This window comes from Homo sapiens, chromosome 5 (genome assembly GCF_000001405.40).
Source record: "Homo sapiens chromosome 5, GRCh38.p14 Primary Assembly".
Classification (NCBI taxonomy): Eukaryota; Metazoa; Chordata; class Mammalia; order Primates; family Hominidae; genus Homo; species Homo sapiens.
The window spans coordinates 78,143,357-78,163,265 of record NC_000005.10 but is presented as its reverse complement, the minus strand read 5'-3'; the positions used below and the strand labels follow the sequence as shown (position 1 = coordinate 78,163,265).

General features: G+C 36.5%; 1 protein-coding gene across 3 annotated transcripts in view; it reads left to right on the top strand.

Moving 5' to 3' along the window:
- The window catches only part of AP3B1 (adaptor related protein complex 3 subunit beta 1), a 294,177-nt gene that overhangs the window by 131,433 nt on the left and 142,835 nt on the right, over positions 1 to 19,909 (top strand). For all 3 annotated transcript variants that reach the window (NM_001271769.2, NM_003664.5, NM_001410752.1), the window contains exons 13-14: positions 315 to 447; positions 6,899 to 7,008. In NM_001271769.2, coding sequence (NP_001258698.1) covers positions 315 to 447; positions 6,899 to 7,008 — 243 coding nt within the window. The remainder of the gene's footprint in view (positions 1 to 314; positions 448 to 6,898; positions 7,009 to 19,909) is intronic.

Here is a 19,909-nt window from a genome sequence, read left to right as displayed (position 1 = left end):
CTTTCAACCTTGCACTTAAACTAATTGCTGTCTTTGGGTGACTGCTCCTACTATCTGTTTTGGAGTCTCAAGCCACTATGGCCACAGGTGAATGAGCCTGGCTTGAAAATGTGCTTCGTCCATAGGCACATTCTTTAAGTAAAAAAATCAAAACAAAATGAAATTAATCTACATCATCACTTGGTCCTCATATTGTGCTTATGAGAAGTTTATGTATTCTGGAATTCTTATATATTGACAAAGTTTAATATAATCGGAGTTTTGGTTAACTCAATAATACCAGTGTGTAAACTAATTGAAATAATATCTTTTAGACCTATGTGAAAAGCCAGGATAAACAATTTGCAGCAGCCACTATTCAGACTATAGGCAGATGTGCAACCAACATCTTGGAAGTCACTGACACGTGCCTCAATGGCTTGGTCTGTCTGCTGTCCAACAGGGATGGTAAGTTTACAGTTTCATTTTATTTTCAGGTGATTTAAATTTGAATATTCTTGGTATTATTTCCAAGTTGTAACCTTTTCTAACTTTGCATTTTAGCTTTTCCAGTTATATCAGTAGTATGGTCACAATAAGTAGCATTTTATCCTTGAATGCACATAAATATGCATATTCTGGGTTCTTTTTTTTTTAGTAAAATAGGCCATTAACTAGCAGGTAGTATTTGTTTTACCGCAACAGATCTAAGAAAATTTGTTTTACTTCTTTACAATTTAATCACCTTGATTGTATCTTTTCCACCTTTTTACTGCATTTTAATGGCATGTAAGTCATGCATAATATTGGTTCACCTGCAGAGGGTGCTAAAAGCAGGCAAATGACTATAACATGGAGAAGTGGCTAGATCAAAAAATATGTTAACTGTATACCTTCAACATTCTTTTTCCTCAGAAATTCACCTAATTATATTCAAAATTAACTAGATTTAAAAGCCATAAACTTGGAGCAGCTTTGTGTTTTTAAGCCAAACAATATCTAAGTGTTCGGTAAAACTGGATAGGTAATATCCAGTAAAATATGTAAGCTAGATCCCATATTGTTCTGTGGCAAAGCGTCAGTTATTTCTATGGGTAAGGCTTTGAAATAAATGGAGCCATTTAGAGAAAGAAAGAAAAGCCAACTTTACCTTTAAAATAATTTTGTTTAAAGAACTTTTATTATAATTATGTATTAAAATGAGACTTTTTTAAGAAAAGCATAATTTTCTTTGTAAAATCATTGAAATTATTTTGTGGAATTTAAAATATACTAATGTCTATGTCATGTCTAGATATGGGCATATATGATATAGCAGCCCATGAGGTAAAACAACAAAATTGATTACATTTTATTTGAAAAATAACTTTTTAGTACAAGAATCCTATAATCTCTAATTATTTTTTCCCACATGTAGATATCTTTAGAAAACTGTAACATTGTTGAGAGTATTTCTGATGAAAAAAATTGGAACAAAATTTATTCCCAGATAACATTGATTTTTGTTGTGAGCATAAAATTTTAAACTTGTACCTGTAAACTCAAGATACTATGACTGAAGATTTTTCTACATGTAGTATTAAAACTCCAAATAAATGCCAACCAAAATTATCAAGACGATAGGTTTAAAATTTTTTTTTATCTCTACAAAGTAGCTAGTGGAGATAGGATGATAAACGTCATCCATTCTATCTCTTTCTACTTTTAATAATAACTAATCCTTTTATCTCTGTTTCTATGTCACATTTTAAAATGTGACATTAAAAATGTGTTTTAAAGAAATTTTCCTGTGCCTTTAATAATGACTTTCTATTCAACCAAATAAAATACACACCTTGGGAAAATAACTTTGTACCATTAAAGATTATGAACCAAGGCTTACCAGGGCAATTGTTCTTTTACATTTTAGTTACATACAGAAAGCACCGGAAATTAGTTAGAACACTGATTAGTTCATTCAAATACAAAATATATTCAAATTTTCTCAATTTTATTTTTTGACTTTTTTTTTCTAATGGAAAATTTCAAGCTTTGGATTTTAAAGCAGTTATTTCTGCTTCAGATTTAATTTCTCAAAAAATATTTTTATTGACTTTAAAAGATAAATATTCTACCCCTACATCACTTTTAAGGGAAGACTAGATTGTTTTACAATTAGAAAATGAAAGACTAATACATACTTCCTCTCTAAAAGTAGAAGGATTTAGTTTAACTACTTTAAATTTTGATATTTTAATGGTTAGGCTTTTGTTTTTTGATACAACTCTTAATCATGGTTTTTTTTTTCCTGCAGTGTGAATATTAACAAACTTAAATTGTATTGTCAGATTATATTTGCATAATCATCATTAGCCCATAATACCTGATTAATTATGTCTGTATCACATATGCTACACTATTTTTTGTAGTTTGGAAGTCTGGCTCAGTAAAAGTGAGAGGTAAAACAAATAAGGAGAATATTTATATCAAAATTAGTAACATAAAAGAAAGTCATAGTATTTTTAACTTTAACATAGCCACCCTGACAATAGAGCCCCTTCCTCTTTGTATTAAAAGATCTACTTTTAGGAATAAATACTGTGAATGAAGACTCAGTTTCTTTAAAATCTGTTAAGATCTTTTAAGGCTCTAGGAATCTGTAATTATTTGATTTTATATTGAAATGAATACCTCATCATCTGTTCAAATAATGAATCTTTAAACCTCAGGGACATTTAGGCTCAATTGTTTTTAAATATGTTTAATATATTTCTCTTGGACCTCTAGTTTTGTGTGTGTGTTGTTAAGAGCCTTTCTAAGCAGACTTGAAGCTTGCCCTAAAACAGCCTATTATTACTCTCTAAGATTAATTTGATAAGCCAATTTCTTATAGACCTTTAGTAAGAGAAATCTACATTTCAGTTGACTTAGGTAATTTATTTTAGGTAACATATTAGCGAAATTTACTTTTTTGAATAACCTTATTGCCATCTACTCTAAACTAAAAGGATTGGGGCAGAAGACTTTGTTTTGTTTAGTTTTAAACAATTCAGTAAGCATTTATTGAAGACTTAAATCAGTTGAGATGTTTAATAAATGTTGAATATATTAATAGGATATTTATTTAACTTATAAAAGGTTCCTATCTTTATAGAGCTAATAGTCCATTGGAGGGAGATAGTAATATAAGACAAATATATTATAGTCTTCCCATATAGTGACCACTTACTCTCTTGCCAGCTATTTGCTTACATGTAGGACTATACCACCTATGTAGAATGTTACAGCTATCCTGAGTAAATTACCCAGTCTACCTGTGCACCAGATTCTTCATTTGTAAAATGAGTATGATAGTAGACTGTACTTTTTAAAGTTAGGTCCATTAAGATTTGTTGAGGACAAGGAGGAAGTTAGGAAATATCTAGAACATAGGATCATTTTGTGCTTCTGATAGAGTAGCACCAAAGTGCTGAGGTCTTTGGAAACCAAGAGGTACCATAAAGGAGAAGTAGAGTGGAATTACCTGAGGGGAATGAGAAGGCACTTGTGGTAGGCAGAATTATTGCGTTCCAAAGATGCCCAGAACCTGTGAATATGTTACCTTACGTGGAAAAAGAGACTTCGCAGATTGATTAAGTCAAGTTTCTATAGATGGGGAGATTATGTGGTTAGACCTAATGTTATCATGTGGGTCTTTATAAGGGAAAGAGAGACGCAGGTCAGTCAGAAGATGTCAGAAGGTCAGGGTGATGTGATTGTTGGAAGAGGTCTTTGAACCAAGGAATGTGGGCATGCTTGAGAAGTTGGGAGGGGGAAGGAAAAGATTTCCCCTAGAACTTCCAGAGGGAACGCAGCCCTGTTGAGAGCTTGATGTTAGTCCCATAAGACCTATGTTAGACTTCTGACTTTAGAACTGTACAATGATAAATTTGCATTGTTTTAAGCCACTATGTTTTTAGTAATCTGTGACAGCAACAATAGGAAACTAATGTAGTTCCTAAAGATAAATGATGCCAAACGCATATTTCAACTGTAGCCAATCCTGCGTCTGCTTGTAGATAATTAAATTATGCAACATTTTTTTCTCTTACTTAGGCTAGTTTTGCAATAATGTATTTTAAAAATATAAATTTGTTATACTATGCATTCTTTAAAACCACACTTACCAAATTTTGCTTTGCATAGTAATCACATAACCATTTATTTTTCTGCTAGAGTGTAAGTTTGATGAGGGCAGAATCTCATTCTGATTTACCTTTGCTTTCCTCATAGCACCAAGAGGTAGTCTTTATAGAAGTAATACTTGCCTATGGGTGGGCGCGGTGGCTCACGCCTGTAGTCCCAGCATTTGGGAGGCCAAGGCGGGTGGATCACCTGAGGTCAGGAGTTCAAGACCAGCCTGCCCAACATGGCGAAACCCCATCTCTACTAAAAATACAAAAAATTAGCTGGGCGTGGTGGCGGGCACCTGTAATCCCAGCTGCTTGGGAGGCTGAGGCAGGAGAATCGCTTGAACCCCGGAAGTGGAGGTTGCAGTGAGCCGAGATTGCGCCACTGCACTCCAGCCTCAGCGACAAGAGCAAAACATCTCAAAAAAAAAAAAAGAAGTAATACCTGCCTATCGTAACATAGAACGTATATAGATAGAATGTACATCCTAGTTCTGAGTTTGAATTCTGGGTAAAGTTATACAATTCCAGTGCATCTCCCTTTCTTCATCTTTAAAATAATAATAATAAGGTACCTACTTTACATTATTGTGAGAAGGAAATGAAATGTGATGTTGTTTTGTAAACTGAAGCATTAATATTAGTTAGCTTTTAGTTAAATCATACTAGGTTTTTTTTTGTTTTTTCTTTTCTCACTCTGTCACCCAGGCTGGAGTATAGTGTTGTGATCACGGCTCACTGAAGCCTCAACCTTCCTTGGCCCAGGTGATTCTCCTGCTTCAGCCTCCTGAATAGCTGGTACTATAGGCACGTGCCACAACTCCTGGCTAATTTTTGGATTTTTTGTAGACCTGGGGTTTTCCATGTTGCCCAGGCTGGTCTCAAACTCCTGGGATCAAGCCATCCTCCTGCCTCGGCCTCCGAAAGTGCTGAGCCACTGTGCCCAGTCAATATTAGTTAATTTCTTATTCTTATGGATAAGCAGGTAAACAGTTTGAAATACATATATTTACTAATGATTAGAATGATGAATTTTGTTTATATTCTTAAACGGAGCTTTATAAAAAATACATTTCAGTGAAAAAGAGTAGGCCGGGCATGGTGGCTCACACCGGTAATCCCAGCACTTTGGGAGGCCAAGGCGGGTGGATCATGAGGTTAGGAGTTTGAGACCAGCCTGACCAATATGGTCAAACCCCGTCTCTACTAAAAATACAAAAATTAGCCAGGCGTGGTGGCGCGCGCCTGTAAATCCCAGCTACTCAGGAGGCTGTGGCAGGAGAACTGCTTGAATCTGGGAGGTGGAAGTTGCAGTGAGCTGAGATTGCGCCATGGTACTCCAGCCTGGGCCACAGAACAAGACTCTGTCTCAAAAAAAAAGAGTAATAGGACACAAATTATGGTATTTCTAATATAATATTAAAATAAACCTTTGTAGTGTATGCCAGGGGAATTCCTAATAGCCATGAAGCCCTATTAATAAAAATATCAAAATAATAAGTAAAGGCAATGTTGATTTATTTCTTTGGCATCATTAGCATTAATAACACATTATATAAGATTCATTTCATAAGGTCAGGTTCTCAGGTGAGTTATGTTACGTTTCTTTACCAGTACCACCAAAAAGAGACTGGACCAGTGATTGGCCAGTTTAGTATGATAACTAAATCCCGTAATCCCAGTTTGAGGATCTACTTCCTATCCACCTCCAGTAGTAGTTACTGTATTAGTTAAGGCTCTGGCAAGAAACAGATGGCACACTTAAAAGGGATGATTGAAGTGAATTAAGTGAATGAACTGTTTGTAAACTGTGGTCAGGATTAAGGGAAACCAACAAGATATGATGTAACACCCTGGAGCTAACAGGCTATCAACAGTGGGAGGCCTTTACCATGCCTCAGATTGAAGGGAAGGGGTGTGAGGAGCAGGAGCAGTTACCAGACCCTGCAGGAGTGAGCCACTTGCAGTACCTTCAGTAGGGGATTGCATGTAATACCAGGGAGAGGAGGCTGGCAGAGTAGGGATCCAGGATAACAAATATCCCCGCCCTCCCCCCACCATCTCCTGCTGAAGCTTTCTATTGACTAAACACAGCTATAAGCCAGGACCAAGGGAGTCTGGTTGAGGCAGACTACAGGTGGGCCTCTTAGGGCACAGTGCTGGGGAGAGAAAGGTAGAGTGGACTTTATAGAACAAATAGAGAAAATCCATCTCACTCTCACAATCCCATTCTTTCCGGCTTTGCACTCCATGCTATTTCTACAGTGACTTCTTTACTACTACCACTCATCTTTACTACTCACTTTTCTGGGCATTTCACTTAAGGAAAAATTTTTTTTTTAGTTTGCTGTTTTCTGCAGAATAGGGAAAATGTTGTTTAGATTGTAGATAATTGATTTCCACTATATAATTTATAGGAATCAAAGAGCAATATTTGAGGACTCTGGTTAAAAGCCAAAGACATAGAACACTATGGTGAGCAGCATAATCCAACGTCTTTTGCTTTCTTAATCTAAAGATGCAGAGATAAGAAAGGAACTACAGAAGCTAGGAGACAGCAACAGAGGTTAGAAATTAAAGTTAACTCTCCTAGTTAAGACAGTTGTTCACACCTCAAATTTGGAAGCGCACTCATGGTTATGCTTTCACATAGTCTTTTAAGGCTTGTATTAAATAGAATGTTTTTCTAATTTAAGTTTACATTTTACGAAGCATATTGCATTTGAATTGAATTATACATATTTAGTATGAATAATTTCTATCTTTTTCAGAAATAGTTGTTGCTGAAAGTGTGGTTGTTATAAAGAAATTACTGCAAATGCAACCTGCACAACATGGTGAAATTATTAAACATATGGCCAAACTCCTGGACAGTATCACTGTGAGTATCAATTAAGAGATGTTTGCTGAATTTTATTCAGTAAGTTGTAATTTTGTTAAAATAAATGGTCAGCCTAAAGGGTAATGGTTAGGAGAGCTGAAGTGTCTGGATTCCAATTCTGAGATTCTAAGATTTCTTGCTGTTATAGGAGGGAATTACAAATCTGAATAGGGGAAAGGATAGAATGAGCCTCGTGGTATTAGATTGGAATTGGAGATAGCAGTGTGAGTTTTATATATCAACAGCTAGATGTTGGGTGAGTATATATGCATGTTCATGTGTCATACATGAAATGAATATACAAACATCTGTTTCCCAGAGCTGTCCTTTGAGAGGAGTTAGAAACAATACCATTGAGCACACTTTGTGCACAGATTTTGTTTTTTTAATTGAGATATTATTTTATACTATAAAATTTACTCTTTTGAAGTGTATCATTGGTTTTTGATCACTTATAAGTTGTGCAATCACCAGTATGTAATTGCAGGACATTTTCATCACCCCTTAAAAAAAAATCCATAACTGAGACTGCCCAGTCTCCCTTCACTCTATACCCTGGCCACTACTAATCTACTTTTTTTTATCTTTATGGATTTGCCTTTTCTGGACAATATGTAGCCTTTTGTTTCTGGCATCTTTCACTTAGCATGTTTTCAAGGTTTGTGTATGTTTTCGAATATAGTACTTCATTCCTTTATATGGTAGATCTTAGTTTTTAAACACAAATCTTGAAGAGTGGAGCAAGATGGCCAAATAGAGGGCTGCAATGATTGTCACCCCTGCAAGAACACGAAATTTTAGCAACTAATTACACACAAAAAAGCACCATCATAACCAAAAATCAGGTGGGCACTCACAGTATCTGGTTTTAACTTCATATTGCTGAAAGAGGCACTGAAGAGGGTAGGAAAGACAGTCTTGAATTGCCGGTGTCACCGCTTTCTCATCCCCTGGCAGCAGCAGTGTGGCATGGAGAATCTCTGCACTAGGGGGAGGGAGAGCACAGGGATTGGGAAGAGAACAAGAGAACAAGAGTCTCTGCCTGGTAATCTAGAGAGTTCTCCCAGATTTATCCAAGGCAGTACCTCTACCAGTCTGCAAGAACCACATCATTATTGGGCTTGAGGCCCAAGTCCCTTTGAATAACCTGGAAAGCCTTCCCAAATACAATAAGCACAAACAAGCCCAGACTGTGAAGACTACAATAAATACCTAACTTCAATGCCCAGAGACTGATGAACATCTGTAAGCATCAAGACCATCCAGGAAAATATGGCCTCACCAAACAAACTACATAAGGCGTCAGGGGCCAATACTAGAGAAACAGAGAGATACGTGACCCTTCAGACAGAGAATTCAAAATAGCTGTCTTGAGAAAACTCAAAGAAATTCAAGATAACACAGAGAAGGAATTTAGAATTCTATCTGATAAATTTAACAGATATTGAAATAGTAAAAAAGAATCAAGCAGAAATTCTAGAGTTGAAAAATGCAATTGATATACTGAAGATTGCATCAGAGTCTCTTAGTGGCAGAATTGATCAAGAAGAAGAATTAGTGAGCTTGAAGACAGGCTCTTTGAAAATACACAGTCAGAGGAGACAAAAGAAAAAAGAATATAAAAGAATGAAGCACAGCTATAAGATCTAGAAAATAGTCTCAAAAGGGCAAATCTAAGAGATATTGGTGTTACAGAGGAAGTAGAGAAAGGGGCAGGGATGGAAAGTTTATTCAGAGAAATAATATCAGAGAACTCCCAAACCTAGAGAAAGATGTCAGCATTGAAGTACAAGAAGGTTATAGAACTTCAAGCAGATTTAACCCAAAGAAGCCTACCTCGAGACATTTAATAATCAGACTCCCAAAGGTCAAGGATGGGAAAGGATCCTAAAAGCGGCAAGAGAAAAGAAACAACATGCAATTGAAGTCTGATACCTGTGGCAGCAGACTTTTCAGTGGAAACTTTACAGGCCAGGGGAGAGTGGCATGACATAAAGTGCCAAAAGAAAACAACTTTTACCCTAGAATAGTATATCCAGTGAAAATATCCTTCAAATATGAAGGAGAAATAAAGACTTTCCCAGACAAACAAAAGCTGAGGGAGGGATTTTGTCAGCAACAGACCTGTCTTTTCTTGTAAGAAATGCTAAAAGGAGCTCTTCAATCTGAAAGAAAAGGATGGTAGTAAGCAGGAAGAAATCATTCAAAGGCACAAAATTCACTGGTAATAGTATGTACACAGAAAAGCAGAATATTGTAACACTAGAATTGTGGTGTATGAAGTACTCATGTCTTGAATAGAAAGACTAAAACGTGAACTGATTAAACATAACTATGACAACTTTTCAAGACATGGACAGTACAATATGATATAAGTAGAAACAACAAAAAGTGAAAAAGCAGGGTAGAACTTTTATTAGTTTCCTTTTTGCTTGATTGTGTATGCAATCAGTGTTGTCATCAGTTTAAAATAATGGATTATATTAATAAGATAGTATTTGCAAGCTTCATTGTAACCTCTAATCTAAAAACGTAAAGTGGATACACAAAATATAAAAAACAAGAAATTAAATCCTACCACTAGAGAAAACCACCTGCATTAAAAGGAAAACAGGAAGAAAGGATGGAAGGAAGAGAAGAATGTGAAACAACCAGAAAACAAATAACAAAATGGCAGGAGTGAGTCCTTACTTATCAATAATAACATTGAATGTAAATGGACTAAACTCTCCAATCAAAAGACAGAGTTACTGCATGTATAAAAAATCAAGACCTAATGATCTGGTGCCTACAAGAAGCACACTTCACCTATAATGATAGACATAGACTGAAAAAAAAAAGGGATGGAAAAAGACATTCCATGCTGGTAGAAACCAAAAAAGAGCAGGTGTTGCTATACTTACATCAGACAAAATGTCTGTCTCTTCCTACACTTATAAAAGACAAAAAGTGTAGGAAGAGACAAGGTCATTATTTAATGATAAAGAGTCAATTCAGCAAGAGGATATAATGACTTTAAATATATATGCACTCAACACTGGAGCACCCAGATATATAAAGCAAATGTTACTAGAGCTAAAGACAAAGGTAGACCTCAATACAATAATAGCTGGAGATTTCAACACTCCACTTTCAGCATTGGACAGATCTTCCAGACAGAATACCAACAAAGAAACATTGGACTTAATTTGTGCTATGCACCAAATGGATCTAATAGATATATACAGAAAATGTCATCCAAGAGCTGCAGAATACACATTCTTTTTATCAGCACATGGATCATTCTTAAGGATAGAGCATATGTTAGGTCACAAAACAAGTCTTAAAACATTGAAAAAAATAATACCAAGTATCTTCTCTGACCAGAGTGGAATAAAACTAGAAATCTAAAACAAGAGGAATTTTCAAACAATATAAACATATGGAAATTAAACAATATGCTCCTGAATGACCAATGGGTCAATGAAGAAATTAAGAAGGACATTGAAAAATTTCTTGAAACATGTGATGATGGAAACACAACATACTAAAACCTAAGGGATATAACAAAAGCAGTACTCAAGGGGAGGTTTATAGCTTTAAGAGCCTACATCAAAAAAGAAGAAAAACTTCAAATAAATAATAAATAACTTAATGATGTATCTTAACTAGAAAAGCAAGAACAAACCAAACCCATAATTAGTAGAAGAAATAAAAATCAGAGCAGAAATGAAATCAGAGATGAAAAAGGAGATATTATAACTGATACTGCAGAAATTCAAAGGATCATTAGTGGCTACTATAAGCAACTATATGCCAGTAAGTTGGATAATCTAGAGGAAATGGAAAACTTCCTAGACACACACAACCTCCCAAGATTGAACTGTGAAGAAATCCAGTATCTGAACAGACCAAAAACAAGTAACAAGATTGAAACCATAATAAAAGTTCTCCCAGTGAAGAAAAGCCCAGGATCCGATGGCTTCACTGCTGAATTCTACCAAACATTTAAAGAAGAACTAATACCAAGTCTACTGAAACTATTCCAAAAAACAGAAGAAGGAATACTTCCAAATTCATTCTACAAGGTCATTGTTACCCTGATACCGAAACCAAACAAAGACACATCAAAAAGAAAGGAAGGGAAGGGAGAGGGAGAAGGAGAGGGAAGGGAAAGGAGAGGGAAGGGAAAGGAAGGGAGAGGGAAGGGAAGGAAAAGGGAAGGGAAGGGGAAGGGGGAGGGAAGAGAAGGGGGAGGGGAGGGAAGGGGCAGGAGAAGGGAGGGAAGGGGGAGGGGATGGGAGGGGGAGGGGGAGGGAAGGGATGGGGAGGGGAGGGGGAGGGGAAGGGGGAGAGGAGGGATGGGGACGGGAGGGGGAGGGGAAGGGGGAGAGGAGGGATGGGGAGAGGAGGGGGAGGGGAAGGGGGAGGGGAAGGGGGAGGGGAGGGAAGGAAGGAAGGAAGGAAATAAAACTAGAGTCTAGCATCTGTTGAATATCAATGTAAAAATCCTCAACAAAATACTGCTAAACTGAATTCAACAACATTTAAAAAATCATTCGTCATGACCAATGGGATTTATCCCAGGGTTACCAGGATGGTTCAACATTCATAAATCAATCAGTGTGATTCATCATATCAACAGAATGAGGGACAAAAAACATATGATGATTTCAATTGATGCTGAAATAGCATTTGATAAAATTCAGCGTCCTTTCCTGATAAAAACCCTCAAAACTGGGGATAGAAGGAACATACCTCAATATAATAAAAGCCATATGTGACAGACCCACAGTTAGTATCATACTGAATGGGGAAAATCTTAGCCTTTCATCCAAGCTCTGAAACATAACAAGGATGTCCACTGTTATTCAACACAGTACTGGAAGTCCTACCTCAAGCGTTCAGACAAGAGAAAGTTATAAAGGCATCCACATTGGAAAGGAAGAAGTCAAATTATCCTTGTTTGCAGATGATATTATCTTATATTTGGAGGTATTTTGGGGTATAAGAGCATTCCTACAACTTACCTTTATTGGTTAAGAAAACAAAATGTGACCAGGTGTGGTGGCTCACGCCTGTAATCCTAACTAACACTTTGGGAGGCCAAGGCGGGTGGATCACCTGAGGTCAGGAGTTTGAGACCAGCCTGGCCAACATGGTAAAACCTCGTTTCTTCTAAAAATACAAAAATTAGCTGGGCGTGGTGGTGTGTGCCTGTAATCCCAGCTACCTGGGAGGCTGAAGCAGGAGAATCGGTGGAACATGGGAGGTGGAGGCTACAGTGAACTGAGATTGTGCCACTGCACTCCAGTCTGGGTGACAGAGCGAGACTCTGTCTCAAAAAAATAAATAAATAAAAATAAAAAATAAAATTATATGTTTACCTGGAGAGATAGCTAACACAAATGCAGTAAAATGTTAACATTTGGGGAATCTAAGTGCAGGGTATCCAGAATTTTTTTTACTCTTCTTGTAAGTCTGAAATTATGTAAAAAAAAAATAAATAAATAAAGCAATAAATATTAGTTCCAACTCCATCACTTACCAGCTCCGTCCTTATGTTAAAGTCTTTATGCCTCACTTTTCCCATGTGTCAAATGATGATCGTAAAAGGACCTACAATATAGTATTATTATAGGTATTAGCTTAGTTAATATGGTAATGCCCTTGGAACGCTGGCTGGCACATAGTAGTGCTGCATTATGTGTTTGTCATTCTATCTTCATGCTCTTCTTCCCTTTAAAACCAAAGTTTTTGAAAGAACTATCTGCAACAAGTTTTATTCCTTTACGTCAAACTCCCTCCCCGTCACAGTTGGATTTTGGTTCTCCAGCACTTCATTAACTATGCCTTTTCCAAGGTTACTATCTCCTTTCTAAATCCAGTGGATACTTTTCTGTCCCTATCTTCCTTGATCTTTTCTTAGCATTGGACTACGCTAACTACTTCGTCCTTTTTGAAATAGTCTCCTCATGGCTTCTGTGATTTTTCTCTTCTGGTTTTTCTTCAAACTCTTCAGCTATTTCTTCTCCATTGTGTTTGCTTTTTACTATGCCTTTTTCTTGAGTGCTGGTTAATGTTTTGCCAAGTGATGTTCTATAATAAATGCAGATGTAGTTTAGGGAGGAGTATATTATTTCCTTTTTTGAAGATGGGTTAATCTGTATTCTCATTCTCTTCAGAGGGATCATTTTTGTGTAGTCAAGGGTAATGGATCACAAGATTTAGAACCTGCCAGTCAAGACCAATTTTAAATATCTCTGGTGGCAAAATTGTCTTTCCCTTAGGGTGTTAGTAAAGCTTGCAAGGCAGTTACACATTTATCTTAAAGCTAAAAAAAAAAAAAAGTATGGCTTACAGGAGTCATTTAGCATCTGAACTTCCACCCCATCTCTCAGCGGAGAGTTACTTTGTATTCATATCTGTTCTTACTGTTGATTCTAATGATCAAAGCCAAGACTTCTCATAGAGATTGTGTATGAGAGATGTAGGGGTTAAGAGAGTAATTTGAAAACCGGATGACTTGGATTCACAGTTGGTCTGTACCTTTTACTAGCTTCATGAACTTAAGCAAGTTACTTGACTTCACTATGCTCCAGTTTTCTCATCTGTACAATGGGGATCATAGTACTGACAACCTTAGAGCTCTGTTGGGTGGAATGAATGAGTCAATGCATGTGAAGCACTTAGAACAGTGCTCGGTGTAAGCTGTTATTAAGGGAATATTGAGTGTTTTTTGAAGAAGACAGACTATGGTAAGGTTTTAATTTTGTAAGCTTTCTTATTGCCTCTTTTATATTTTACTTATTTAAAATAACTCCTATAGAGCATATCATTTGCCAGGCACTATTCTAAGTACCTTAAAAATATAAATTATTAATTTTTAATAGCAACACTTCAAGGAAAGTTCTCTTAATATTCCTATTTTATATTTGAGAAAACTGAGGCACAAAGAGGTTATGTAACTTGCCCAAGGTCACATAGCAGCAGGTCTGCTTTCTTAACCAGTGCATTATGTTGTATCTCACTTCCATTTATAATCTATCTGTTTAAAAATTTCACTTTATTTAACAAATATTTAAATTGTCACCGGTCCTTTTTCTGTATTCAGTTCACATACCTACTCAGTGACCTAGCCAAGGTTTTTTTTATTATTTCCTTTTGCTTCCCTCAAGTCATTGACAAATTGGGAATTAGAGTGACATGATCAATGTCTACCGCAGTGTAGAACAGATGTTTGACATTACTTTGATGGGAAATGAGAGGTTAAGCTTTTTTTCTCAAAGCCGCCGAAATGGACATCTAGCATTCCTATCCACCAAGCATCAAAATTCAGTCGTGTCTCTAGTCATTGTAACACTGCTCATATTTAGTTACTTCCTACGAAGTGATACAGCCCCCAGGAAGAACCACTTGTCTAACCAATAGCTAATGAACTAGCACAGAGAACTCTAGATGGAAGAAGACAAAGAAGAGAGATATATAGGTGACTGTATATTTACACATGATTATGAGGTTGGTGCAAAAATAATTGTGGTTTTTACCACAATGGCAAAAACCTCAATTCCTTTGCACCAACCTAATAAATGTATAGCAATAGACTAGGAATGTCTAACCAAAGTGCTAAATTTGAACTCTTGATAAAGAAGGGGGCATAATATAAGGAAAATTCTATTAACCTAGAACTAAAAACATTGAATATTCAGGAAAACTGAGGAATGAGATTAAATGGAGGTCAGAATAAAAGAATGTTAAAGGTTTTGTGGGAGGAAGAGAGTGGAGAGAAGTGAAATTATTATGGTAGTCTCATCTGGTGTTCAAAAAGTAGTAAGGTAAAAATAATTATCTTGAGGTGAAAACCATGGGTTTTAGTGAGGGAAATAGTTAATACCTTGTTTACAGGTAATGGTAGAGAAGTATGTATCTGATTATGAGAAGGAACTAGGAGTTCTGTATCTCCCCAGACTTCTTGTGCAAAATTTAGTTAAAACTTGTGCTAGTAAACTCGTTCTGGTCCTGTTTAGAAAGGAAGAGGCAATTATAAGTACTAGGGCTTCAGGAGAGTGCAGCTGCTATACATAAAACCTGTAACAGTGTATGAGGCCTGTATCTGGCAAACCCTAGGCTTTCTTGGAAGAAAACTTTCTTCTATTTGAGTATATTCATGTCCAGGGATACAGAAGATACTTTTGATGTGTAAACTTTCTTTTTCTCGCTCATTCTCTCTCTTTCCCTTTTTTTTTTTAATGGAGTCTTGCTCTGTCACCCTGGCTGGAGTGCAGTGGCGCAATCTCATCTCACTGCAACCTCCACCTCCCAGGTTCAAGTGATTCTCCTGCCTCAGCCTCTGAGTAGTTGGGATTACAGGCATGCGCCACCGTGCCTGGATAATTTTTGTGTTTTTAGTAGAGATGGGGTTTCCCCATGTTGACCACGCTGGTCTCAAACTCCTGACCTCAGGTGATCTCACCCCAGCCTCCCGAAGTGCTGGGATTACAGGCGTGAGCCATGGCACCTGGCTGATGCATCAACTTTCTCAACAGTTGCTGGACTATAAGCCAAATAAGTACAGTCTTACAGCTCTATATAGCAAAGCTTATTTTTTTCAGCTTTTGTTTTTCTCAGAAGATAACCATTAATAGATACAAAAATATGGTGAGAATTCAGTATTCACAAAGGAAAATAAAGGAACAAATAGCAGTTTTACAAAGCCAGAAAAAAAATAAGAAAGAAAGAAAACAAATGTAAAATAAATAATAAGTATTTAAAAGTAATAAAGATGGAAGAAATAAAATCAAATATTTCTCATCTTGAATATGAATGGACTGAATTTTCTCATCAAAAGACAGACTTACAAATTGGAATAAAAACAAAAACTAGCTACAGGCCATTTATAGTTAAAGCACCTTAATCAAGTGATAAAAGTTGAAAATAAGAAGGTAAGGAAAGAGATATTAAGCAAATATGAACAAGAAAGTGAGATTTACAGTTAATTAAAAGCATTTAACAAGATAAAAAGGAACATTATAAAATGAAAAAAGGGTAATTTGTAAAGAAAGTAATAAGCACAAACCTATTTGCACAAAAAATATGGCAACCAAATAAATATGTAAAGGAAAAATCTATTCAAAATGTGAGGAGAAATTGATAAAATAGTTACAATGTGTGACTGTAATGTATTTCTCTCATATTAGATATTTCTAGTAGACAGATATAAGTAAGAAAATTAAGTAATCAAAAACTTATTTAGTAAATATAGCTAAAACCTTATATCTCTTGAACAGATAATACCCACTTTTAGGAGTATATCCAGTGAATATTTTCAAAAAATCAAGAATGTATTTAGGCATAAAGGAAGCTTAAAGATTTTGCATTCTTTGACCTTAAGCAATGAAATGAGACTTAAATAATTTAAAAGGGTACCAGACCAGTTGTAAAGTAAGAAATGTACTTTCAGATTAAAGAATGCATTTAAAGAAGAAATGCAAACTTTTTTCTAAAACCCAGGAAATAAAATGCTTTATTTCAAAACATGTAGGACATGGCTAAAGTTATAAAGATCACCATTTTTAAAGTATAGGGATATAAAATAAAAGAAAAACGAATCAAAACAGAAGAGGGATCAATGCTGATTTTGTAAAATAGAATACAAAAAATATATATGAGTTGAAAAGTACATGTTAAATCTGGTCTTTTGGAAAGAAAATAAAACAAAATTCCCTTCTAATTATTATGAAGCAGAGAGAGGTAACAAAAGTAGACAAATCTGGAATATGATAATAAAAGAAATTAAAATACAAGAAAGCTGTATGGAATTCTACAGCACACATTTGAACTTAAGGAGAATGAAAAGCTGATAATTAGTTGTTACTGCTCATCTAACGTATCTGAGGAAACTGAAGTGCTTGAAGGTGGGACAAGCAAGGAAGAATCAAAACAATTTGTTGTGCAGAACCCTCAAAATGGTCAACCACAAGTTACCCCAGGAGAAGGTGATGAGGGATGTAGCAGACATAACTTCAAAGTCAGGAAAGAAGAATGATTGAATCCCCAGAATCTCTCTGTTCCAGTCAGGAGAGCTGTTTATACAAGAACAATGGCCATGTGGAAATAAAAGCAGTGTTTTATTAATCCGACCAAGTACCTGATAACTCCTAAACGTAGGCAAGTGATTTTAAAATGTGAGCCTTAAAATAAGAGCCTTAAATGAGACTTCTGTCCTCCTGAATCTCTACCTATTTCACCATCAAACCCAGGAGTGTCATTCTAAAACACTGCAATTTTAGGAAAAGCCAGTCTGTCCAATATCTAAGGACAATGGGTCAATATTGAGCATGTTTTCCTTCAGTGCCTGAGCCACTTTATTAGGGCAGAATCCTGGGTCCATCTTTCTTCTGGAAGGAGAGAGAACAGAAGTGATAGCAAGACCTCTTCCCACCTGGCCACCTTACCTATCCTTAAAAGAAGAGGTGAAAGAAGTGGGAAAATGTCCCACTATACACGGGTGTGGGAACAGGCAAGAGGATGGCCTGGGTCTGCCCTGAAAATCTGGCTCTTGGGGAAATGGCAGGAGGCACTAAGGGAGCCATTGCACAATGTGGCAGACAAACAGAGGATGAAGGAATAATCCTTCATCTGATTAATAAGTAAATATGACCCCAGTGAGGTGAAGTTAATTGCCTCCTTGATGTAACACCATCAGTGTGGGATCAGAACCGGTCTCAACAGCTTGCTGACCAGTATTCTTCCTAGTTTACCACACTCATTTTGTCGCTACCCAGTGATCCAGTATGAATTTTGGATTCAGATTTGGAGTTCTGATCCTAGTTCCACCACTAACCAGCTGTGAGATGTGGGCAAGTTTCTTAACTCATTTGTTACCTAGTTTCCTCATATGTCTAGTGCAGATCATAGTAGAGCATACTTCATAGGGCTTTGGCGATGAATGACTGAGAAAATACGTAAAGCTCTCAAAAACAGTGCATGGCACATGGTAAGAGCTCAATAGATATTAGCTATGTAATTTGTTTTAAAAAGAGAACATAGATTTTATCATATTGAGGGCTTTGTTTTAATTGGTTATTTAGTAATAATTGAAAATATAAAAACTAAAGTTTAAATGTATTTTACATTTTGAATTCGGTCAAATCAAATAGATTTATGTCTGTAATACAGTCAACTTACATGTTCTGATTGTGAGTATTCTGTCCTTTGGCGTATCCTTCATTTATGATAAATACTGGTTTTGGAGTTCTTCTAGAATAAAATGCATACTATCAGCTGGCATGGTGGCTCATGCCTGTAATCCCAGAACTTTGGGAGGCTGAGGCGGGAGGATTGCTTGAGCCCAGGAGTTTGAGGTTGTAGTGAGCAATGATTGCACCACCGCACTCCAGCCTGGATGACAGAGTAAGACCCTGTCTTTAAAAAACAACAACAACAACAAAACAACCCATACTACCTGTGGATTGCTCTGACAGGATTTCACATAATGTTTAATGGGACAGATGGGATTTCATATCTTAACAACTGAAAGATGTTATTCTGTAAAAACTGAGTAATATTGAAATAGCACTTTGTATCCTTGTTGCCCAGATGCCTCACAGGATGCCTGCCATTTCACAAGTTACCCACCCTTTCTCTGGCACCCCATTGTAATTCAGGCTTAGGCTTTAATGCATATTGAGTCCAGATACAGAGTATTAGATCTGATTTGCTGTTGGTATGCAGTTTGCTTAGATGTCTACTGATTTTGCCTTTGACAAATTTAAATAAATGAAATTGATGTTTTTGTAGGGTTTACTTTGGACTGTTGCACTGTGCAGTGGGCTGGTGTTGAAACACAATAGCTTTTAAATTGAACTGCTTACAGAGTGATCTGCAAAATCTTTCTAGATGTCTTTCTATAGCTGCTGTGGTGAGCTAGGAATCATTATTTGTTTTTGCTGGCAAATTAATGGGTTGTGGTGGCCGTGGAAACTGCCTTCTAGTACAAGGTTTGAAAAGTGCATTTAATCACTTTCTCAGGGCATTTAGAATAAAGAATCAGGCAAAGTCATTTACAATCCAATTTGTCTTTGAGAATATTGAAAAGCAGAGCTTCATAATGAAAGTATTATATCATATGTATGACTCTGTGTGTGTGTCTGTACCTGTGTCTGTGTCTGTGTGTGTATTATTAGTTTGGTTTTATTTCAGTGTTCCTATTTATTTTGTGGTTAAAAAGACCATGGGGAACAAAAAGTGACTAATTTACTTTTCTTTTTTTTTTGAGACAGAGTCTCGCTCTGTCACCCAGGCTGGAGTGCAGTGGCACAATCTTAGCTCACTGCAACCTCTGCCTCCTGAGTTCAAGTGATTCTTTTACCTTAGCCTCCCAAGTAGCTGGAATTACAGGAGTGTGCCAGGCTAATTTTGTATATTTAGTAGAGACAGGGTATCACCATGTTGGCCAGGCTGGTCTCAAACTCCTGTCCTCAAGTGATCCACCCGCCTCAGCCTCCCAAAGTGCTGGGATTTTAGGCATGAGCCACTGTGCCTGGCCTCTAAAAAGTGACTAATTTTCTTACTTGCCTTTTTTTCAGGTGCTTCAAATCTTTGAAAGTAGTGGCTGTGAATTCATAGTGTCAATGGTGTATAAATGAGAGTCCTGTTGCTTAATGGGAAGAGAAAGGGAAAGCTGGAATCCAAAAATCTTAGTATTCTGATCCCATCCACCTGCTCAAAAATGTTGTCTTTGTCAGTTTCCTAAGCTTTGTAATACAATGCCATCACCAAAAGTTTGGTATATTTATATTGATATTATTTCTTGTGGTGAAGTTTTCTAAGTTTTAAAAATTCTTGGGGATTTTATTAGCTCAGTTCTAGAAAACTACAAATCTTATTCTCACCACCATCTTGAGATTTTTATTGTGAGCAT